Source organism: Homo sapiens, chromosome 7 (genome assembly GCF_000001405.40).
Source record: "Homo sapiens chromosome 7, GRCh38.p14 Primary Assembly".
Lineage (NCBI taxonomy): Eukaryota > Metazoa > Chordata > Mammalia > Primates > Hominidae > Homo > Homo sapiens.
Window position 1 is genome coordinate 103,347,041 of NC_000007.14, and position 24,325 is coordinate 103,371,365.

Below are 24,325 nucleotides of genomic sequence, written 5' to 3' on the forward strand. Positions count from 1 at the left end.
AATTATTTTTAATTTCCTGAGGAATCAATCATACTGTTTCCCACAGCAGTTGCACCATTTTATCATTTTACATTTACATCAACAGTGCACCAGGATTCCATTTTATCCAGCAGCACATGCAAGGGTTGGCTGGACCCAAGGGTCATCCTTTCCAACACTTATTTTCTGTTTTGTTTTTGCTTGTTTTTTAATAATAGCTATCTTAATAGGTATGTGGTGGCATCCAACTGTGGTTTTGATTTGCATTTCCTAACAGTGATGTTGTCCATTTGTATATCTTCTTTGGAGCAATGTTTATTCAGGTTATTTGCCCACTTAAAAAATCAGGTTGTTTTCTTGTGTGGTAGGAGTTCTTTATATATTCTGGATATTAACTCTTTACCAGAAATAGATTACCTTCACTATATTTGTAGATGTGGCCACTACTTATTGTGTCTAATATGCCAGGCGTTTTACAAACACTGTAAAGTTTCCTTCTCACAGGTAATCAGTCCAAAAACCAGCGTGCCAAAGCGTTTCCCCAGGGCTCTGTCCGGACTCTGAAGCACTGCATAAAGGGGTCTGTCTGAGCCCAATTTACTTCCGGTGGGGAAGGGAAAGGGAAGACACCACCGGAAGCAAGGAAGGTGCTGTGTAATCATTAAGGAGCGGAGGCTTTTGGAGCTGCTAAAATGCCGGATTACCTCGGTGCCGATCAGCGGAAGACCAAAGAGGATGAGAAGGACGACAAGCCCATCCGAGGTCAGTTGACATGGGCCGGAGCTCGGAGCTGGGGCGGGACTGGAGCGGAGCTGCCTTGGCACTGGAGAGGAGCTGGATTCCCGCTCCTGGCTCTGTGCTCTGGCCCTTTTGTGCCCCTAGTAATTTAGTCTGGACACCGGCCGGATTAACTTGCCTGCCTTCTCAGTCTCCCTCATCCACTACAAGTTCTGTATTATCTGCTGATGGAAATTTTTATTCATTCTCAGCTCTCGGGTCTTGAAGAAGTCACGCACCCTGCTTGGCCTAATAGGCCTTGAAAAGTTCTGCCTGGCGGTGCTCGGTCACCTGATCCTCTTTCCTCTCCTCCTCCTTCCCCCTGTGACAGCCGGGAGCTGTCACTGTGTAGCCACAATTCTGAGACATAATTTTCTTAAAAAAATTATTTGACCAGATAATACATTCACAGGGTTCACAATTCAAGAGGCAGAAAAGATATCTTTGAAAAGCCTCGCATCCTTGGCCCCAGCCACCAACTTCTCCACAGAGGCAACTAATGTTGCTATTTTGCATATCTTTTTAGACATATTCTATACATATACAAGCAAGTGTGCTTATCTATTCCTTTTTTTTAACACAAATGTAGCATGCTGTACATACTTCAACATCTTGATTTTTAAAAAATTAATATATATTAGAGATACTTTCCTATCATGTAGTCACTTCCTCTGCATCTGCATAGTATCCTGTATTATGCGTATACAGTAATGTATTTATTATTGATGGACGTGTAGATTTTTCCAATTTGTTGCTGTTATAAAACAATGAGTACCTTTTACCTCGTTGCACTCTGAGACCAAGATGGGTCACCAGAAGCTATGCTGGAGCCACCCGCGAAAATTCGGCCAGGGTTCTCGCTCTTGTCGCGTCTGTTCAAACCGGCACGGTCTGATCCGGAAATATGGCCTCAATATGTGCCGCCAGTGTTTTTGTCAGTATGGGAAGGATATTGGTTTCATTAAGTTGGACTAAGTGATCTTCCTTCAAAGGATTATCCAAGGCATCTACCCAATGGAAAACCATGATAGTTCTTTGTACATAAAATAAACATTTAAAAAAATGAATAATCTTGTTTATGTAACTTTTACCAAGTGCACAAGTACAAATTGTAGGATAAATTCTAGAAGTGGAGTTCTGATTTTGTAAGTGCCAAACTACACTCCATGGAGATTGTACCAGTTGACACTTTAACTTACAGTGCATGAGATATGCACACCAGTTTTGGATATAACTTCTTCCCAGTAGTCCCGTTTGTAGTCTCATCTTTATGCCGTTTCTCCTTTTGTTCCTTAAGCTATTTTTAAATGTTCTTTTGGTATTTCTTATGTTTCTTCTTACTTTTCCCTTTCTTAACAACTTCAACTTTTCCTAGCACCCTTCTCCATTTACACTGTCCCCCAAAAGAAAGCATTTCCTTTCTACCTTCATCTCATTCTGCTGTTTCTTTTAAAAATATTTTAGGACACTGAAAATGTCAGATATACTCAGTATTTATTGGAAAACTTAGACACAGAGATTTATCATTTGATCTGTGCACAGTGATCTGTGTGTTTCTCTGGGTTTGTTCTTCTGTAAAAATATTAATACATTTATTCCTTGGATACAGTTATGACTAACATGTATATAGGATCTTATGCGTTTATTCATACATACCCTTTTTTTTTTTGAGATGGAGTCTTGCTCTTGTCACCCAGGCTGGAGTGCAGAGATGTGATCTCAGCTCACTGCAATCGCTGCCTCCTGGGTTCAAGGGATTCTCCTGCCTCAACCTCCCAAGTAGCTGGGATTACAGGCACCCCCCCACCACACCCAACTAATTTTTGCATTTTTAGCAGAGACCGGGTTTCACAATGTTGGCCAGGCTGGTCTTGAACTCCTGACCTCAGGTGATCCGCCCACCTTGGCCTCCCAAAATGCTGGGATTACAGGCGTGAGCCACCGCGTCTAGCCTGATTAAGTTACTTTCAATTTAAGCTTTCCGATCTCAACTTGGTCCTAATTGCAGTTAACTTTTTGTGAATCTCCTATTGACTCACTTTGTTTGAGTGGTTATTTCAAGCCTTTTACATGTTTTTCAGGTCCTCAGTTCAGTCTCTTTCTTCATGACTGATGACTTTTTTCTCTCCTGAGACGATTGAGAATCCACTTAAGAGTTCTCTTAACTTCTCTGACATTTTCCATTTTCTGTTTTAATCCTGCCTTAGAGGAAGTGGTATCAATTTTTGTTATGTGCAACCTTCCCCATTTCTGTTTTTGACCTTATGCCTTCCTCCTCTGGACTTTGTTTCTTCAGTCACTACCTCTTCTATTTGTTGTCCTATGGAATTTTTCCCTTTTGTTCTTATAAGCATGCTAATATCCATTTTATCTTAAAAACATAGTTGAGAAAATCTTCCTGCTCTCCTAAGTTACAAGTCATTTTCTTTTTTTTCTTTCACGGCCTGAAAGTGGCAGAAAGGACAGGCTTAGGAGTTAGGAAGACCTAGGTTTGAATCTTGGCTTTGAGTTTTGTCTAATAAATTCTGTGAAACTGTTTTTCCTATCTGTAATGTAGAAATAATTGTATTTACTTCACAGGTTTATATAGAATTAGATAATATCAATATGTATCTCTAATCACGGTGTCTCATACAGTGATCATCTCAATTTATAGCAGCTATTACTATTCTCCCACAGTACATTTCTTTACTATTTATATATTTATTTTTAGAGACAGTCTTGCACTGTCGCTCAAGCTGGAGTGCAGTGGCATGATCATAGTCACTGCAGGCTGGGAACTCCTGGGCTAAAACCATTCTCCTGCCTCAGCCTCCCTAGTAGTTAGGACAACAGGCGTGCACCACCATGCCATGCTCATTTAAAACTTATTTTTTTTTTTTGTAGAGACAGGGTCTTGTTATGTTGCCTAGACTGGTTTCAAATTCCTGGGCTCAAGTGATCCTCCCACCTTGGCCACCCAAAGTACTGGCATTTCAGGGGTGAGCTACCATGCCAGGCTCTTATTTTATTTTTAAACTTCTTGCACTTTAGTTTCTATCTATATAAATCAGTTGAAACTGAGCAGTAGTTTCTTAATTCCCAGATCTTTAGTATTTCTCAATCCTAATCCTTGTGTTTTTGACATTGTTGAGCCTTTGAGCTTCCCTTGGTTTCTCTTGCTGAACCTTCCCGTTTATCCGCCTGCTTCTTTTCTTTCCTTCATTGTGTCCTCACATGGCTTCTCTAAAGTTTTGTTTCTATTAATTTCATCCATTCTGGTCTTGGACTGTATGTGCTTCCCTAGTCAACCTTTTTAACCTCAAGCTAGCATCTGACCTCTAGAGCCAGATTTATCTCCGCCTTTTAGAATGCTGCATCAGGATATGCCGGTGTGTTGGATAGTCTTCATGCCTACCCTCAGGCTCAGTAATTTGCTAAGAGCATTCATAAGACTCAGCATGTAGTCATACTCATGGCTATGATGTATTTTAGTGAAAGGATACAAAGCAAAATCAGCAAAGAGAAAAGACACATGGGGCCAAGTCCAGGAGAAACCAGGCACAAGCTTCCAAGGGTCCTCTTCCAGTGGAGTCACACAGGATGTACTTAATTCCCCCAGCAACAGGTAGTGACAATATGTGTAAAATGTTGCTAACCAGAGTAGCTCGTTAGAGATTTGGCACCCAGGGTTTTTATTATGGGTTGGTAATGTAGGCATCTCTGCCTAGAACATACCAAAATTCTAGACTCCCTGAAGGAAGATAAGTGTTCTGCATAAACCCTGTAGTTTGTATAAACATTTTAAGCACAGTGAACCACCTTTTTCAGTTCTGGGAATGGTAGGAACCCTCTGAAATTGTTCTCAGACAAGAGCCAAGAACCAACCTTATAAGCAGGCCTTTCAAAGGATAGCAGTTAACTCTTCTGTGCAGATAACAGTACCACAAACTTAATAAAATTTAAACTGAACTTCGTATCTCCCTCTGCTAACCACTTTCTATTGTGACTTCTGTTGTGTGGTACCTAGGTCCAAAGCCTGGGCATCATGTTTGATCCTCTCCCGTCAGCTTCTCACATTTAGTCATTTGCCATGTGCTGTAGATTCTTCCTCTGAGGGTTTTTTTTTAATCCAACTCTTCCTTTCTCTTTTCATTGCTACCATTTTTATTTAGGTTCTTATGACTTCCGAGTGGCCTCACTCCAATTTGTTCTTCATATCTCAGCGAGCTAATTCTTCCTAAGGCACAGTTCCTATAATGTCAACTGTAGTGGCCCTGATTACCTCATTCTAGAATTTATGGTCTACTTCACTAGAGCCCCAAACCTCCATCTACTTAATTTCCTATTACCGCCTAATGTGTATACTATGTTTCAGCTTACCTGGTCTAGCTGCTGTTACCTAAGCATGCTTTTTCCTACCTCTACTCATACTTAGTTAAAAAAAAAAAAAAAAAAAAAAAAAAAAAAAGACCTGCCGTTTTTTTCCTTAAAATATGTACGATTGTATGATTGGTTCTTGTTTTTCATGATAGATATATTCTATAAAGTTGCTGTGAATGGTCAGTTGGGAAGTACTGAACATTTGATCCTAGGAGAAATATATATATACATCTCACATAGATTATAATCTTTTTTTTTTTTTTTTTTTTGAGACAGGGTCTCACTTTGTTACCTAGGTGGAAGTGCAGTGGCACAATCTCAGCTTGCTGTGGCTGTCACTTCCTGGGCTCAAGCGATCCTCCTGCCTCAGCCCCCCAAGTAGCTGGGACTACAAGTGCATACCACCATGCTAATTTTTGCATTTTTTGTAGAGACATGGTTTCGCCATGTGGTCCAGGCTGCTCTTGAACGCCTGGACTCAAGCAATCCGCCTGTCTCGGCCTGGGATTACAAGTGTGAGCCACAGCATCCGGCTGATTATAATCTTAAATCCTAAAAACAACTCATCCTGGTAGATTCATTTTTTCTTTATTTCACAAAAGAGAAAACAAAGTTCAGAAGTGTTAAGTGACTTGGCTGAGGTCACCCCACTAACAGATTCCAGAGCTGGCATTCAAACCCTGTCCACCTGGCCCCAAAGCCTGAACTGCTTGGATTACACGGCATTTCCCCTACGGTCTCCATCTTCTGGTCATCTCTGTATGAAAGCTGAAACAAGAGGGTAGAGTGACTTGTTCTTAGTTGTGAACTTAAATTTTTTACCACTCTGTCTATTTGCAAATGACCATGAAAGCACATGAGTATTGATTTGGGGATTACAAATAAATTTGAGCAGCTAAGCAAATTCAGAAATGCAGAATTTGTGAATAGAAAAGATTAACTGTAAATCACTTGAAATCCCAGATAACCACCGTAGAACACCATTTCAGGTTACTCTCCACATGTGTTTTAAGTGATTTTTATATAAAAACAAAATATATGCACATTATATCCTTTTTTTTAAACCTACCTGATTCACTGAATAGCATTTGTTGGATTGCTTTCTATGTCTATGTTCTGTTATCATTTTAAATTGCTGCATTGTATTTCCTTTTCTTTTTCTTTTTGAGATGGAGTCTCTCTCGGTCACCCAGGCTGGAGTGCGGTGATGTGATTTGGGCTCACTGCAACCTCCGCCTCCTGGGTTCAAGCAATTCTCCAGCTTCAGCCTCCTGAGTAGCTGGGACTACAGACATGCGCCACCATGCCAGGCCAATTTTTGTATTTTTGGTAGAGACGGGGTTTCGCCAGGTTGGCTAGGCTGGTCTCAAACTCCTGACCTCAGGTGATCTGCCTGCCTGGGCCTCCCAAAGTACTGGGATTATAGGCAGGAGCCACCGCACGGGGCCTGCATTGTATTTCATTGTATGACTATGGTATAATTTAACCAAGATCCTTAATGGATGTGTTTTATGTATGTACTATATAAAATAGGTCATCACGTATATTATGTACTTTTAAAAACCTATTTTCCTCCCAGTTAGATAAAAATTCCTTGAGTCCAGGAACTATTTGATTGAATATGTATCATCATAATCTTGCTTGATTTTTGACACTCACTTAAAACAATTTGAATCGAACAGAAAAAAAGCTCTAGTTTCTTTTTTAAAAATTTTAATTCTAGTTTCTTTTTGAATCTCACGTATTGTCTCTCTTCTTTCAGCTCTGGATGAGGGGGATATTGCCTTGTTGAAAACTTATGTAAGTCCTTTCAGTGTCTACAAACTATAGATGTTTTATGTTGAAATAAAAACTGTTTTGGTATTGTCCTTCCAAAATAATTAGAAGAAGTTAAGAAACCAAAAATTAAAAAACCAAACAAAAAATAAAATAAAAAGAAACAATTAGAAAAGAATGTCTGGCAGCTTCTAGTAATCTTCACTAAATGAAGTTACCTACCTAAAGTTTATAGAATAGATCAAAGTATTTGGCATGTCTCAGTTTATGTATTATTTTAATACTATTCGTGATTAAAATGTGATGCTATATTGAAAGATATTTGAAATCATTTACACAAGTTTACTATATTTAACAAGTATTACTGAATTAGTTCTGAAATGAAGTTTTAATGCATAGAAATCGATAGTTTTGCATAATTTCACACACGATTTTTTTTTTTTTTTTTTTTGAAACGGAGTGTTGCTCTTGTCACCCAGGCTGGAGTGCAATGGCGCGATCTTGGTTCACTGCAACCTCCGCCTCCTGGGTTCAAGCGATTCTCCTGCCTCAGCCTCCTGAGTAGCTGGGATTATGAGCGCCCACCACCACGTCTGGCTAATTTTTTGTATTTTTGGTAGAGACAGGGTTTCATCATGTTGGCCAGGCTGGTCTTGAATTATTGACCTCAGGTGATCCACCCGCCTCCGCCCCCTAAAGTGCAGGGATTATAGGCATGAGCCACCATGCCTGGCCATGATTTTCATTTGTTATCTTGCATAATAGTGGATTGTGTATTTAGGGGGAAATATTGGGTCAGGAATACCTCTCTACTTCACAAGCTTTGGGATAATGATAGCTATTGAAATTGTAACTTAAAAATAATTTTTACCTGTAGTTTTAATAAATGGTTGATATCCTGATATTCTAACTAAACTGACCTTCATCACCTAGGGTCAGAGCACTTACTCTAGGCAGATCAAGCAAGTTGAAGATGACATTCAGCAACTTCTCAAGAAAATTAATGAGCTCACTGGTATGTATTTTTAAATTCCCATTTCCTTCCTTTAAATGTAATGTGTGAATAATATCAAGAGTTTAAATACAGATTTTACTCCTTCATGATTACAGATTTAAAAAAAATCATTATTCTTCCTTTCTGTTAAGAAATTAGATCTCATTTAACCATATCTTTCACTGCTTTTTACAACCAGGTTTAATGCTTATGCAGTTAAGAAATAAGAAATAGTACCATCTTCTAAGCCAGTAATATTTCTGTTGGTCAAAACCCAGTTCAGTAAACTTCAGTTAACAAGTCAAAAAACTTTTTTGGATAAAAATAAGATCTCACAACATAGTTTTGCTTCAAGTAATTGGGCTCTTTCCTGGAACTTTTTGGGGGGAACTTGAATGATGAAGTTTTATAATATTTGACCTACACAAAAATGTCAAATGTGGCATTATATTTTTGGCTTGACAATTACTTTAGGGCAGGGTGTAGTTTTCAGCTGGGGTGATTTTGCCCCACCCTCCCAACCCCTCCCAGAGGACACTGGGCAATGTCTGGAGACATCCTTGATTGTCATGACTTTGAGAGAGGGTGGTGCTGCTGGCGTCTAGTGGTGAGAGGCCAGGGATGCTACTAAACAGTCTATAATGCACATGATAGTCCTCACAATGAATGATTCAGTGCAAAATATCAGTAGTGCTGAGGTTTAGAAAGCTTATTATAGGGTGATGCATTACATTTTAGTAAATTTTGTCATCTTTCTCTATGTAGGTATTAAAGAATCTGACACTGGCCTGGCCCCACCAGCACTCTGGGATTTGGCTGCAGATAAGCAGACACTCCAGAGTGAACAGCCTTTACAGGTTGCCAGGTATGCACGGGTGCTCTGTGGCAACTTACCTTTGTCTGTATTTTCAAGCACTTAATGTTAGAGTCTCAGGGATAATGCAATAGTTCATAAATAATTTTGATTCCAAATTCCAAGTAAATAAAGCTTTCTACAAAACTGGGGTTAAAATTTTATGCCTTAAACAATTCTTCAAAAATATATGAAGGCATAATCATTTAAAAGATTTAAATGATATAAAAAGATGTAGAGCAAGAAATGAAAAACTCCCTTCTCATACTTGCTTTCCCGTTGCCCTTTCCTCAAACGTAACTACTGAAATAGTTTGGCCCTCGTAATCCTCTGTGTATCTTCCTGTATTTGCATGCAAAGAAACATATCCTGATTTTTTTTTTTTTAGATATAACTACATGTTTTGGGAATCTTTGTCTTTAATATAGGTATACTTATTTCTTTTTTCTTGTGTTTTTAAAAAATTGCAAAAATTGCATAATGTGTAGATGTTAGGCTGTAACAATTTCTGTTACTATACACAGTGCTGTAGTGAATATTCGTGTTAAATGTTTCTCAGTGTATGTGCATACATTTCTGTAGGCTAGCTTACTACAAGTGGAATTCTAGGGGTCAAAGATATTATAGTTTTAAAATCCTGTGAAAATTACTTTGGCCAGTTTATACTTTTACCAAGAGGCTTTGAGGCAAATGTCCATTTGTCTGATCAATGTAAGATACGCAGTTTTCAATTTTTACACTTTTGCCATTTGAGGGAAAATAATTTTAATTTGTACTGTGTTGATTACTAGTATGATAGCTACTTCTTTTGTTTACTAAACATCTGTATTTCTTTGACTACTCATGTTTTGTTCTTGGGTTGTTTCTTGTTAATTTTAGAAACAGTTCATATATTGTACATATTGTCTTTTCTTAAGTATGCTACAAGTATTTTTCCCTAGTCACTTTTAACTTCTTGGTACCTTTTGTTGTACTAATGTTTTACATTTTTAGGAGATAAAATATACCAATATTTCCATTATACCTTTTGGGTGTTAATGTTGCTTAGAAAAACCTAGCCCAATTCAAGGCTATAAACATATTCTCCTCTGTTTATAATCCTTTTAAAAATTTTGTTTTTATTTTTAGTTCCTAAAAGCTAAAGATTATTTTTATTTCCCATCTACTCACCCTCCCTACTTCACAATTTCCATCTTTTCTCACTTTTATTTATTCACTCACTTTTTAGTTTTATCATGGTTTTTGAAGGGTTAAATAGTTCAGGCTGGGCACGGCAGCTCACGCCTGTAATCCCAGCACTTTGGGAGGCCCAGGCAGGCAGATGACTTGAGGTCAGGAGTTCAAGACCAGCCTGGTCAACATAGTGAAACCCCGTCTCTACTAAAAATACAAAAATTAACTGGGTGTGGTGGCGGGCGCTTGTAATCCCAGCTACTGGAGAGGCTGAGGCAGGAGAATCGCTTGAACCTGGGAGGCAGAGGTTGCAGTAAGCTGAGATTGTGCCACTGCACTTCAGCCTGGGGTGACAGAGTGATACTCTGTCTCAAAAAAAAAAAAAAAAGAAAAGAGTTAAACAGTTAAATAATAACAACTGTATTTCCCAATTTCTCTTCCCTAATGACACTCATTTTCACCTTTTTTAGCTGATTATTTTGGTTTTCGTCTTCATGGTTCTAATGGATATTGCTATATCTTGTGTATTATAGATTCCTACTTCTTGATTTTTTAGTTTTAGGTATTATCTTTTGGCTTTCCATCATGGAAGATGAGGATTTTGTTTTGTTTCCTCTGCCTTCACCTTGAAGGCACACCTTTCCTATCCCCTCATCCTTCCTATGTAATTCTGTTATAATTTTGGTTAGATCAGTATTCAGTGTTTATATGATTATGGCTATGTAAACACTATTCACAAAGAGCCAAGTGGTAAGCTGTGATTGCTTTTCCTTTCTTGTACCACTTCTTTTAGTGGTGGTTGTTATAACGTCTTGTTTTTTCATTTGCCTGGTTTTCTGTGCATATATTATGAACTCAACCTCCCACTTTCTCTTGATTGTCTAAACTGCTCTTCAGATGCATTAGATCTGTTCGTTTTCTCTCAGTTATACCTTAGTTGCATCTGGTGTTCTCTCGGTTTCATTTTCCTTAAGTTTTTCCCAGCACCTTCTGACCTGCTTTGGTTTGGACCAGTTGTCCTTTATGCCTGTTTAATGACAATTGTTGTCTGACTTCTCTACCCTGGAGATTGCCCTTTACCTCTCTCCTGTTGCTTGGTCTAATACATCCTCTGGTAGCTTCTTGGAAAAGGGTCAGTTGGGAGGTAATATTTTGAGACTGCATATGTCTGAAAGTGTCTTAGCTGAGTATACAGTTCTTTTCCCTTCAAAATTTTGAAGGCGTCGTTCTGTTGTCCTTTGCCTCCCAGTGTTACTCTGAAGCCATTCTGATCCTCAGTCCTGTATATGTGGCCTAATTTTTCTCTGAAAATTGTAGAGTCTTCTCTTGTTCTATTTTGAAATTTCATGGTGATGTGCCTTGGTGTTGGTCTGTTTTCATCCATTGTCCTGGGCTCTCTTGTCCTTTAGTAAGGCAAATCTTCTTGAAACTATTTGTTAATTTCTTTCCTTCCGTTTTCTTGGACCCTTATTCCTGAATTCTCTTATTTGGATATGGGGCCTCCAGGATTGCTCCTCTAATTTGCTAATCTTTCCTTCCTGTTTTTCTTCTTTTTGCCTTTTTACTTTACTTTCTATGAGCTTTTCTTTATCTTTGAATTTTTCTGTTGATGTTTTTTTCCTCCCATTTTTCTTCTCGTAGGTTTTTAATTTCTCAGGTAAAAAAACTCAGGTTTTTTATTTCAAGGCTCTTATCTTTATTCTTTCATTTTTGTGTGTGTGTTGAATGTTCTGCTCTTATATCATGGTTGTAATATGTTCTTATCTCTCTATGGTAAATTAAAAAATCTAGGTACATTTTTCTAGGCCGTATGAGGGGAATTTTCTTTTTTCTGTAAAGCAGTTAGAGGGAAACTTTTCATATAGATTTTTCATAACAGACAGACTAGCTAAAGAGCCCTATACCCCTACAAGATCCCAGGCCTTAAAGAAAGCAAAGATTATTTTGAAAAAGTTTCCATTGATTTTAGTCTCATACTCTTTGCTTAAAACTCTTGATAAAATTTGTGTATGTGTAATTTTTAGCTTGTGAATTTTTTTTTTTTTTTGAGACAAGGTCTCACTTTGTTACCAAGGCTGGAGTGCAGTAACATGATCTCAGCTCGCTGCAGCCTCTGCTTCCTGGGCTCCCACCTCAGCCTCCCAAGTGGCTGGGACCACAGGTGCATACCACCCCATGTCTGGCTTTTTTTTTTTTTTTTTTTTTTTTTTTTTTTTAATTTTTAGTAGAGACAGGGTCTTGCCATGTTGCCTGGGCTGCTCTTGAACTCCTAGGCTCAAGCCATCTGCCCACCTTGGCCTCCCAAAGTTCTGGGATTACAGGTGTGAGCCACCGTGCCCAGCCAGCTTATGAATTTTTTTAATAACAATCTTACTGATATAAAATTCAGATATCATGAGGTTCACTCTTTTAAAGTATACAATTTAGTGATTTTTAGAATATCTAGAAAATTGTGCATTGATCATCACTATCTAATTCCAGAATAGAATATTTTTGTCACCCCAAAAACAAACCCAATACCCATTAGCAGTCTTCATTCCCGTCTCTTTCCAGCCCCTGGCAACCATTTATCTACTTTCTGTTTCTATGAATTTGTCTATCCTGGACATATCATCTAAATGGAATCATATAGTACATGGCTTCCTTCACTTAGCATATTTCAAGGTTCATCCGTATTCTAAAATAGATGGAACTTTTTATGGCCAAATAATATTCCAGTCTAATTTCTCTATCTGTATTCACTATTGGTGAGACATTCTTCTCATCATTCCTATAAACTCTTTAGATATGGTTTCCTTTAGCTTTTTGAAAATATTTCTTGTACTGATTTAAGGTTTTTGTTTGACTGGGCGCAGTGGCTCATGCCTGTAATCCCAGCACTTTGGGAGGCTGAGGCAGGTGGATCACTTGAGGTTGGGAGTTTGAGATCAGCCTGGCCAACATGGTGAAACCTGTCTCTACTAAAAATATAAAAATATTAGCTGGGCGTGGTGGCAGGCGCCTGTAATCCCAGACACTTAGGAGGCTGACGCAGGAGAATTGCTCGAACGTGGGAGGCGGAAGTTGCAGTGAGTCAAGATCGCGCCACTGCACTCCAGCCTGGGCAGCAGTGAGATTCCGTCTCAAAAAAAAAAAAAAAGTTTTGTTTAATAACACCAACATCTAGGCTTCTTAAGGGACAATTTCTATTGACTGATTTTTTTCCCCTTATGTATGAGCCATAATGTCATACATAAGGGAAAATGCATTTCATAATGTTTTGCATCTCATAACTTTTTGGTGATAACTAGACATTTAAAATAATGTAATGTGTCACCTCTGGAAATCAAATTCTTCCTTTCCCCAGGGTTTGGTATTATTGCTGTTTGTTGTTCTTGTTTTTCCTTTCAGGTTTTTTGGTCAGCCTCTTTTTTTTTGGTAGAGAATGGGTATAATTCTTCTTCCCTAGCAAACATGGTTGGTAACAGAAAACAGAGTCCTTCACACAATTATGCTATCAGGACAAAGCATTCTTTTTTAGCCTTGACCTCCTGGGCTCAAGTGATCCTCCAGCCTCAGCCTCCTCAGTAGCTGGGACTACAGGTGCATCCCACCACACCTGGCTAAGCCAAAGCATTCTGTACCTTACTTTTAGCTCTACCTATGTGCGCACTCCACAGGCTATTTTTGTATTTCTCTGTAATTCTTGCTGTGGCTTATGTAGCAGCTTTCTAATGTGAGTTCTGTTTTTTGTTTTTGTTTTTCTTTAGTAGATAGATACTATAGAAGGGGAAAGGCGGTTGACTATTTTATACTGTGATGTGCATGGCATTATAAATTCATTTTTACCAGGCCATATGGAAATGAATATAATTAAGTTAAAAATAGCTTCTACTGGCCGGGTGCAATGGCTCACGCCTGTAATCCCAGCACTTTGGGAGGCCGAAGCAGGTGGATCACTTGAGGTCGGGAGTTTGAAACCAGCCTGGCCAACATGGTGAAACCCCGTATATATTAAAAATACAAAACAATTAGCCGGGCGTGCTGGCGCATTCCTGTAATGCCAGCTACTTGGGAGGCTGAGGCAGGAGAACTGCTTGAACCCAGGAGGCGGAGATTGTAATGAGCCGAGATCGCACCACTGCACTCCAGTCTGGGCTCCAGAGCAAGACTCTGTCTCAAAAAAAAGAAAAAGAAAAAAAAACAAGCTTCTACTGCCTCAGTTAAAAAAAGAAAAAAGTAGCAAAAACAATAAAAATGGATTTAAAGTCCGGGTGTGGTGGCTCACGCCTGTAATCCCAGCACTTTGGGAAGCTGAGGCGGGCGGATCACCTGAGGTTGGGATTTCGAGACCAGCCTGACTAGCCTGAGGTTGGGAGTTCAAGAGAAACCCCCTCTCTACTAAAAAAAAAAAAAAAAATACAAAATTAGCTAGGCATGGTGGTGCATGCCTGTAATCCCAGCTACTCGGGAGGCTGAGGCAGGAGAATTGCATGAACCCAAGAGGTGGAGGTTGCAGTGAGCCAAGATCACACCATTGTGTTTCAGCCTGGGCAACAAGAGTGAAACTCCATCTCAAAAAAAAAAAAAAAAAAAAAAAGAAAAACGGATTTAAAGTATAAACTCAGGAAAAGAATGAAAACCCATTTATTACTGAATTTGGTGTAAGACAAGATGACCATCTTTTTGTAGGGAAAATAAAAACGAGAGCAACTTAAGATATACAGGAGCATCACTAATAATAAAGGAATACAAACTATGGAAATCAAGAAATCAGAGAACTTCTTAATGATGAGATATTTGGGTTTAATTTTCCAGGAGAATGTATTTGAAAATTTTATGACTTGGCTAAAGTCGAATGGACCTTTGGAGTTGGGTATAGAAAAGGATCTTTAACAGTGTCCCAGTTTCTGTAGTTCTAGTTTATACCTGTATATTGCACACTCAGGATATAATCTAGTTAGTTGAATTCATTATTAGTGGCTTAGGTTCCTTATTCTAATCAAGCTTTTTGCTGTGTTAGGTGTACAAAGATAATCAATGCTGATTCGGAGGACCCAAAATACATTATCAACGTAAAGCAGTTTGCCAAGTTTGTGGTGGACCTTAGTGATCAGGTGGCACCTACTGACATTGAAGAAGGGATGAGAGTGGGGTAAGATTTCTATTTACAATAAATACTTTTCTTTCACTAAGGATACTGTCTCACATTCATATCCTTGGCTTTGTAGTGAATAAATGGACTGAGTTCCTTGGAATACCAAAGGATGATCTAGTAATGTACTATAGTTGAAAATTCTGTCTTCTGCATCTGCTTCCTAACTTCCCATCGGCTTCGCTGACTCCCCTACTCCCACTGTTGTTTATTATGAATGGCTTCAAATTTCAGAGTTGAGGTTACCAGTCCATTTAAGGTAACATGGTATAGGTTGGGGGAGTACTTGCTTTAGGATAGTTGTGATGCTAAGTGTGTTAATGTCTATAGAATACATAACAACTCACTTAGTAAATTAAAAAAAAATCTCCCCTCCCTCCTCAAAGGTTTGATTGCTGTTGGATAGGTTGTTTGCGACATTAGACATGTAGTTTAGTATCCTCAGATTTCATGCTCTCTTTATTTCTCTTTATATAATTAGGGACTCTGTCTCTCTCTTGTTTTCTTAAAGTATGGTTTTGGGGATAAAGGACTAAACATAAAAGCACTTTGAAAGCTTAAAGAATGTATTAATGACTATCTTTTTTACTTCCTTAGCGTGGATAGAAATAAATATCAAATTCACATTCCATTGCCTCCTAAGATTGACCCAACAGTTACCATGATGCAGGTAAGAAACTATGGGAGGGAAAAGGAAGGCTATGTCTTTTTTTTTTTTTTTTTTTGAGGCGGAGTTTCACTCTTGTCCAGGCTGGAGTAGAATGGTGTGATCTTGGCTCACTGCAACCTCTGCCTCCCGGGTTCAAGCAATTCTCCTGCCTCAGCCTCCCGAGTAGCTGGGATTACAGGCACCCGCCACCACGCCCAGCTAATTTTTGTATTTTTAGTAGAGACGGTGTTTCACCATGTTGGCCAGACTGGTTTCGAACTCATGACCTCAAGTGTTTGGCCTGCCTCAGCCTCCCAAAGTGCTGGGATTCCAGGCGTGAGCCACTGAGCCCGGCAGTATTTTATATATATATTTTTTGAGACAGAGTCTCAGCCTGTCTTTATTTTACTAGTTTGTTTTTCATTCATTAGTGTCATAACAAGTTAATACAGCAAGTAGTTCCAGGGCACTGGGCAATGTATTCAATTTTTATTAAAATTCTCACTTGTGAGTTTTTCTTTTAAGGTATTAGGTCTATTCTATTGAATTTGGACAGTATCCAAAAAGCCTGTGACTGTATGTTGTACATTTCTGTCCCTCTCTTAGGTGGAAGAGAAACCTGATGTCACATACAGTGATGTTGGTGGCTGTAAGGAACAGATTGAGAAACTGCGAGAAGTAGTTGAAACCCCATTACTTCATGTAAGTAGCTGAGTGTTGTATTTAAATTTCTTTGTATAAAGATGTCTTTTGTGTATTGAGCACTAAAATTGCTTGTATATTAGATGGCTTTTAATATTTTCCCTAATGAGAGTTTTTTGAGAGGGTGGAGAGAGGAGGTGTGGAGAGTTGGTAAGTTCTAGGGGAGAGCAAGCAAAAAGGATTGAGTGGTCAGGTATATTTAAAAAAGAAAGATCTGCTGTTTACAGTGACAGAGGAGGCACAGTGTAACCTTTAGCAATATGTTAAATATGTTACAGGCTATTATAGAAGAAACTGGTTCTTCAAAAGACATCGAGAAGAAAGGGGCTTAAATTGAAGCAGGTTAAACTTGGGAGGATAATGGAAAACTAGGATACTGAATACCAGATAATTTTGTTCCTTAAACACCATAATTTTTTTTAAATTAGGAAAATATTTTAAGACTGGATAATGGAAGTGCTTTTTAAAAGCCATTTAGTCTTATGTATTGATAGAAGTCCAGTTTAGAACTTATGTCTTAGAATAAGTAAAATTTCTTATTTAGTTCAAGTATGTATATTGTGGACTTAATAATTTTGATTTAAATATTAAAGTATGGTTTTCAGGATAAAATACTAAACATAAAAGCACTTTGTTGATTTAGAAGTAGTCTGATTTTTGTTATACAGAAGTGGTAAGTGTGAAAATTGTGTCTCTATCACAGCCAGAGAGGTTTGTGAACCTTGGCATTGAGCCTCCCAAGGGCGTGCTGCTCTTTGGTCCACCCGGTACAGGCAAGACACTCTGTGCGCGGGCAGTTGCTAATCGGACTGATGCGTGCTTCATTCGAGTTATTGGATCTGAGCTTGTACAGAAATACGTCGGTGAGGTAAAGTAAATTTATCAAAGAATATATAGCCTTGTGAAAGATTTTACAGTATGAATGAAATTAAAAATGGCACTTCTGCATTGAGGGATCCAGACCTGAAATTTCTTTTTTCTTTTGTTGAGACAGAGTCTCATTGTGTTGCCCAGGCTGGAGTGCAGTGACATGATCTCAGCTCACTGCAGTCTCTACCTCTCTGGGCTTAGGCGATCCTCCCATCTCAGCCTCTCAGGTAGCTGAGACCATGGCTACATGCCACCACACCCAGCTAATTTTTCTATTTTTTGTAGAGAGGGGTTTTACCATGTGGCCCAGCTGGTCTCAAACTCCTGGGCTCAAGTGATCCATCTGCTTTGGCCTCCCAGAGTGCTGGTAGTATAGGCAAGAACCACCACGCCCGGCCTGAGACCTGAAATTTCTTGATTGTAATTAGTAGTTTAGAAGCTGCCTTTGTGGTCATTTGGAGATAGGCAACCACTTAAAATTTTAACCAGTATGCCCCCTCCTCAAAAGGGTGACATTTTCTACAGATGTGGCTTTTCTACGGAAATGCCTGGTAAATTAATTAAAAAGTATACTTTTACTTCAGGGGCAGTGTTTTCAGTCCTAATGAGAAAGTGAGAACATAGGTTGTTTTTATGTTTGTAGACATACATATATATATATATATATATATATATTTAGAGAATAAGTCTAGGGCTATATGTATTGTATCTGAAACCTGTTGATGATTCGTATATTTACAATAAGAATTAGCTACGGAGCTGCGTGAGTTGAGGTATCCTTTTATTCCCTAACTAAAACTTGCAAGTCAAATTCAATGATCAGGAATTCCAAGTGATAGATCAGATGCTTTTATTTACTCAAGTTTTACTAATTAGAATGGTTCCTTTATTTAACTATTAATTTGACCTCTTCAGATCTGAAACCTATTGCTATTTAATAGATACAGAATCATGAAAATGACTTAATATTTTAAGGCTGGCAAGATTAATTTGGTGGACTGGGGAGCAAACTTCAGTCTTTTTTAAAAAAAGTTTAGATAGGCCAGGCACGGTGGCTCATGCCTGTAATCCTAGCACTTTGGGAGGCAGAGGCAGGCGGATCACCTAAGGTCAGGAGTTGGAAACCAGCCTGACCAACATGGAGAAACCCCGTCTCCATTGAAAATAGAAAAAGCCGGGTGTGGTGGCGCATGTCTGTAATCCCAGCTCCTCGGGAGGCCGAGGCATGAGAATCGCTTGAACCCAGAAGGCGAAGGTTGCACTGAGCCAAGATCGTGCCATTGCACACCAGCCTGGGCAACAAGAGTGAAACTCTGTCTCAAAAAATAAAATTAAAATAGCTGCGCGCAGTGGCTCACGTCTGTAATCCCAGCACTTTGGGAGGCTGAGACGGGTGGAACATGAGGTCAGGAGTTCAATGCCAGCCTGGCCAAGATGCTGAAACCCCGTCTCTACTAAAAATACAAAAATTAGCGGGGTGTGGTGACACATGCCTGTAATCCCAGCTACCCGGGAGGCTGAGGTAGGGGAATCGCTTGAACCCAGGCGGCAGAGGTTGCAGTGAGCCGAGCTCGCACCACTGCACTCCAGCCTGGGCGACAGAGGAAGACTCCATCTCAAAAAAATAAAAAAATAAAAAACGTTTAGGTAATAATGGGTGAGAATACTGTTAGGAATAAATATTGAAAAGTTTGAAGCATAACTTTTTACTTATTTTAAAATATTTTGAAACCAATTTTGAATTAATAAATCATTTTTCTCATTAGGGGGCTCGAATGGTTCGTGAACTCTTTGAAATGGCCAGAACAAAAAAAGCCTGCCTTATCTTCTTTGATGAAATTGATGCTATTGGAGGTGAGAATGATACGTTAGAGAACTGCTTTAGGATTCAGTTTCATGAAAGCTGTAAAGTGATATGTCGTGATATGTTAATCTTGTACAGAATTTTAACTCCAACTCTTCTATGAGCTCTGAAACAGTGGCGCCACAGATCTAATAAGTAGTAGTGCTAAACTATAAAGGCAAGAAGACACATTATATACCATTGTCATTTTTTCAAAGCCTTTATTTTTGTGCTATGGGTTGAATATCCCTTAGCCGAAATGTTTGAGAAGTGTTTTGGAATTCACATATTTTGGATTTTGGCTTTTGAAGTACTTGCATTATACTGATTGAGTATCCCAAATCTGAAAACCTGAAATCTAAAGTGCTCCAATGAGTATTGCTTTTGTCATGTTGGTGCTCAAACTTTCAAATTTTGAAGCATTTTGGATTTTGCATTTGCAAATTTGGGATGCTCAGTCTATATCTGATTTCATTCATACAACACCTATTTCCATACTTTAAACAACTCGTAAATTGAGAAGTATCATCTAATGTCATAAGAAAGCACTGGGGCATAATTTAATTGATGGTGGTTTTTCTTAGTGCACATAAAATAATGTTCTTGTTGGCTTCACAGATTTGATGAAATACAGTATTAGCCATGAAATCTAGACTTTTTTTTTTGTTTTAAGAAACAGTCTCACTCTGTTGCTCAGGTTGGAGTTCAGTGGCATGATCTTGGCTCACTGCAACCTCTGCCTCCTGGGTTCAAGCAATTCTCATGTCTCAGCCTCCTGAGTAGCTGCAATTACAGATGCCTACCACCATGCCTGGCTAATTTTTGTATTTTTAGTAGAGACGTGGTTTCACCATGTTGGCCAGGCTGGTCTCGAACTCCTGAGGACAAGTTATTTTAACTAATCTCTGAGCCTCAGTTTGCTCATCTTATAAAGGGAATAATTGTTGTCTTGTGTACTTCATGAGTTTTTGAGAGGTCCAAATTAAGTAATAAATGTGGTAGACTTTGAAAACACTAAACTGCCCCATAGGCAGTTTAAAAAACGTTAAGTAAATCTGTGATGAATACTTTTGAAAGCAAAGATTCACTTTCTAATTAGTTTTATATAAAGCAAGCTGTTCTTACAGGATTTGCTTCAAAGTGGGATGTCACTTGTGCCTGAGGACATGATTTGAGCTGAGATTTTTGGTACTTTCAGGTCATGCATAGTGCTACTCTTGAGTGGACTTGAAGAGCTTATCTTTCCTTTTGTCTTCTCAGGGGCTCGTTTTGATGATGGTGCTGGAGGTGACAATGAAGTGCAGAGAACAATGTTGGAACTGATCAATCAGCTTGATGGTTTTGATCCTAGAGGCAATATTAAAGTGCTGATGGCCACTAACAGACCTGATACTTTGGATCCAGCACTGATGAGGCCAGGGAGATTGGATAGAAAAATTGAATTTAGCTTGCCCGATCTAGAGGTAAGAAAACCATTTCATTTTAGGAAAGGGATTTTTGAAGTTTTTTCTTCCTGTGATTTTTTTCCATTTTAATATTTGTCAATTTTCTCATTTTTAGGGTCGGACCCACATATTTAAGATTCACGCTCGTTCAATGAGTGTTGAAAGAGATATCAGATTTGAACTGTTAGCACGACTGTGTCCAAATAGCACTGGTAAGTAGAAAGTTCTTGCTTATATTTGCTGGTCTGTCTGCTCAGGCTGCTTTAATTAAGCCCGTTTATTTTCTTTTTGTTTGAAAGGTGCTGAGATTAGAAGCGTCTGCACAGAGGCTGGTATGTTTGCCATCAGAGCACGGCGAAAAATTGCTACCGAGAAGGATTTCTTGGAAGCTGTAAATAAGGTCATTAAGTCTTATGCCAAATTCAGTGCTACTCCTCGTTACATGACATACAACTGAACCCTGAAGGCTTTCAAGTGAAAACTTTAAATTGGAATCCTAACCTTATATAGACTTGTTAATAACCAATTCATAAACAAATAAATGGCTTCAAAATTGTATGCTTTTTTCCATATCTCTTCTTGTAATATAATAAAAGGTGATTTCTAATGTTATTAGGCAGAAAAGCTTGTTAGAATATATTTTGACTATTTTTTTGACCCACACCCGTTTAAGGATTTCACATCATACAAAGCGCTTGCTTAGATGGCTTCTATCCTAGGCATATGCTGGCCGGGTGCTCTACATATAAATTCTCATTGTATCCTCCCATCTGTCCACTGAGGAAGATTATCAAATGGATCTTCATCCAATGGATGCATAAACTTTCCTACTTACTTGTAGTGGCAAAGCTGGCTTTCAAGTACAAGTTTGTTGGCTCCATTACCTATGCTCCTATTATCCGCTTCTGTCCCGCAACAAAGTAGCTCACTTAGGCGTATGACCACATGCATTATGATAGTTTCCCACCACCATATTGAATAATAAAAGCTTTGGCCAAAGCTTTTTTAAAGTAGGAGAAACATTGGATGTATATGTTTTGCATTGCCATTTGATTTCAAATTAATCAGGAAGAATTAGTGATTTTAATGAGCAGTAAAGTGGTGCAATAAAGCAGAAAGAAAAATGTTCAGCCAGAAGTGAAAGACTAGTAAAAAAAGAAAAAAAAATATTTGTACATATGATCTAATTTAGAAAGTCCAGAATTGGCTTCATACAGAAAAGTGATTACTTTCATTTTACAAATTACTTTAAAATTTTGGTAAAGTTTCTGTTAGGCTTCTGGTCTACAGTGAGGTATTTTAAAAATAAAGGTTATATTAGAATCCTCAACATCTCTTTAAAATTACCTCCTGTGTAACCACCACCAAATCCTATCTTCTACCACAATTACCCCTTCCCCCAATGCCAAGACCAAAGCACAATAATGAATATTTTTATTGAAGTTCGATATTCATAAATAAGTTGCAAAATAAGAGTTGGATATATTTTTAATTCACAATAGAAAAAGTTGACAACATAGAAAATGCTGCTTTGCACTGAAATACTTAAAATTATGAAAGTTTTCAAGTAAAGAAATTAAAGCCTTTTATAAAATCCAACCAACATTCTTGATTTTTCATTTTTATGAACTTGATCAGAAAAATTCATCTTTTTTAACCCTGCCCTAATTTTTCTTGAGGAATTAAATAGAGCAAACTATTTTCAGGTTATGCTTACAATAAAATATACTTAAGAAAATGACTGAAGATGTATGTTTTTGAATGTTTTGATTAAATAAATGTACACATTTAGAACACACTCTGAAGTCTTTCCACTTTGTCATGGCCACGTGCTCATATATACCAATTAAAGACAACTCGAATTAGATAATGTTGAGCACACTCTGTTCTAACGATACAGAGTGACTATCGTGATAATTTAGGTCCATAAGGAAAATCTAATCGGCCACACATCAAATGTAAAATCAACTACTTTAAAAATTTGGGTTTTTCTGTCAAGGCATATTTATGCAGGTAGCATCAACATTGCCTAGGTCAGCATGTTTGTACTCAAAGAGATGAAACAGACATTTACCAGTAACTTCCTCCACCTAAAATAGATGTGTCTATATACATGTGTGTAGATGCACATATATATATATACATGTGTCAGGGTGCTGATAAGTTAGAATACAAAGGATTTATGACTTTAGAAAAATATACCGTAGAATCCTGTTTAAAAACTTCTTAGTGTTAAAAATGTGATTAGGTGTATTAAAAAACTCCGTTTTCATGATGCTTCTGAGGTTTATCTGTTACGTAAAGTGAAATGCAATACACCAGTATAATGAAAAGCCTGGTACAGCTTTCTCAAAGGCCAGGTGGAGTTTTAAGATGCTCAAACTTGATAAAATCTAAGTCACTAAGCAGGCACGTTACCTGGTGTGGTGCTAACTTTTACCGTTGTGTTGCTGGGATTGGAGGGGTTTCAAAACCATTGCATGCATTTTGGTTAGCTGTATGTTTGAAGAATTCAGTAATACTTTTATAGTTCTCAAACTTTTATGAGCATTCAAAACAGTAAGAATCTAAACATCGTGAATCCTAAAGGCACTCCTGAAAGGTAAGGTGCACTAAAAAGGACCAATAGCATTTTTTTGCACTCAGTAAAGCATACAGGCTCACACCAAGGAAGTTCGGTTTCATTTTAGAATTTAAATTGATTTACTATCTTTAAAGGGGCAGACATAAAAGAGCCTTCCCCACCACCTGCTCTTCCCTCCCTCATCCCCACACAAGGGCACACCCCCACCCCCCCAACACACACACAAAAACACACCCACCCACCCCAGGACAGATTCACTAGGTTTGCTACCCTCTCTTTTCTTCATCCACGCAAGAGAGCAGACTCATTTTCTCAAAGTGTACACTCAGAGGCTGGTACTGTCTTTCTCTGCTAAACAGGTAAGGACACAGGATCAAACCACACAGAGTGGATGTTTTAGATGTTTCCTGCAACTACAAAATGAGCTATTCCAGGGCTTGAAGAGGATCCATACCCTTAACAGTTTCTTGGGGTTCCACTGCAGATGAGATTGGCAATTGGGATCCCATTATCAGCTGCCATATACTAATACAGAGTCAGTGTCTAAGACATAGATTGGAGTTTCCTGGGCCCTGGTTCACAAATGTTTTCAAACATATTCCAACGATTCATGAGACATAGATCAACCACTGTCATACTGCACGAGATTTCAGAAGGTCAAAGGACTTTTCTTTATGGGACCTTCTTCAAAACAGTGCTTTCCCATATATTGCCATAAAATAAGGCTAGTGCTTAGATTATGTAGATTATGCCCATTTTGATAGGACAATATGAACCTGAATTTGAATCAGGGTGGAAAAACATAGAAGATACAGTAGCAGCTATTAAGGCCCAGAAAGAACAGGTGGGCTTATATATTATTTCCTTGAAAGCCAGAGACGAGACTGTAAGACAAAAAAGTCAGGAAATTTTTGCTGTATGAAATAATTGAGTAAAACATTCTGACGTATTTACATATGGATGAAATGTATTTTGAAATGCACTCGTTCTCAGATGCTAAGCAAAGTGATAAAACAAAAATATATTTTCCCACCTTAAGACTTGTGCTTTTAATATACATAACAATTCTATTCAAAACAGTTTAAAAGTTCAACAGAAAAGTTAAATACAAATGTATAAGACAAATACCTTTTTTTATACACTACTTTTTTTTTTTTTTTTGAGACGGAGTCTCGCTCTGTCGC

The 24,325-nt window shown here is 38.3% G+C and overlaps 3 protein-coding genes and 1 pseudogene across 8 annotated transcripts in view; 3 read left to right on the forward strand and 1 right to left on the reverse strand.

Moving 5' to 3' along the window:
• Positions 1-502, forward strand: part of PMPCB (peptidase, mitochondrial processing subunit beta) — a 50,108-nt gene extending 49,606 nt beyond the window's left edge. Inside the window, exon 14 of the mRNA XM_047421050.1 lies at positions 484-502. Coding sequence (XP_047277006.1) covers positions 484-487 — 4 coding nt within the window. The 3' untranslated portion in view covers positions 488-502. The remainder of the gene's footprint in view (positions 1-483) is intronic.
• On the forward strand, positions 484-22,355 carry PSMC2 (proteasome 26S subunit, ATPase 2). 2 transcript variants are annotated; one of them, NM_002803.4, is made up of 12 exons: positions 603-741; positions 6,881-6,918; positions 7,828-7,909; positions 8,654-8,753; positions 14,917-15,048; positions 15,646-15,718; positions 16,304-16,399; positions 17,103-17,267; positions 19,036-19,123; positions 20,373-20,575; positions 20,673-20,769; positions 20,857-22,355. In NM_002803.4, exons 1-12 carry the CDS (start codon positions 672-674, stop codon positions 21,012-21,014), a joined length of 1,302 nt encoding a protein of 433 aa, NP_002794.1. In that variant the 5' UTR covers positions 603-671; the 3' UTR covers positions 21,015-22,355. The 2 variants fall into 2 exon arrangements, with proteins under 2 accessions (NP_001191382.1, NP_002794.1); NM_001204453.1 differs by lacking the exons at positions 15,646-15,718; positions 16,304-16,399; positions 17,103-17,267; ... (2 more) ...; positions 20,673-20,769; positions 20,857-22,355 and having other exon boundaries at positions 484-741; positions 14,917-15,427.
• Positions 1,531-1,812, forward strand: RPS29P16 (ribosomal protein S29 pseudogene 16; annotated as a pseudogene).
• Positions 5,690-24,325, reverse strand: part of SLC26A5 (solute carrier family 26 member 5) — a 93,478-nt gene continuing 74,842 nt past the window's right edge. For all 5 annotated transcript variants that reach the window (NR_135802.2, NM_206885.3, NM_001321787.2 and 2 more), the window contains one exon: positions 5,690-5,886. Coding sequence is in view for 4 of the 5 variants with exons in the window: in NM_206885.3 (NP_996768.1) it covers positions 5,850-5,886 (37 nt within the window). In the remaining variant the exon portion in view is untranslated. The remainder of the gene's footprint in view (positions 5,887-24,325) is intronic.

Excerpts from the sequence above, each read along its gene's own strand:
- PSMC2 (NM_002803.4), top strand. The coding sequence starts at position 672 with ATGCCGGATTACCTCGGTGCCGATCAGCGGAAGACCAAAGAGGATGAG. Across the intron at positions 7,910-8,653 it reads GAAAATTAATGAGCTCACTG|GTATTAAAGAATCTGACACT; the intron begins GTATGTATTTTT and ends TTCTCTATGTAG. Across the intron at positions 17,268-19,035 it reads TACAGAAATACGTCGGTGAG|GGGGCTCGAATGGTTCGTGA; the intron begins GTAAAGTAAATT and ends TTTTCTCATTAG.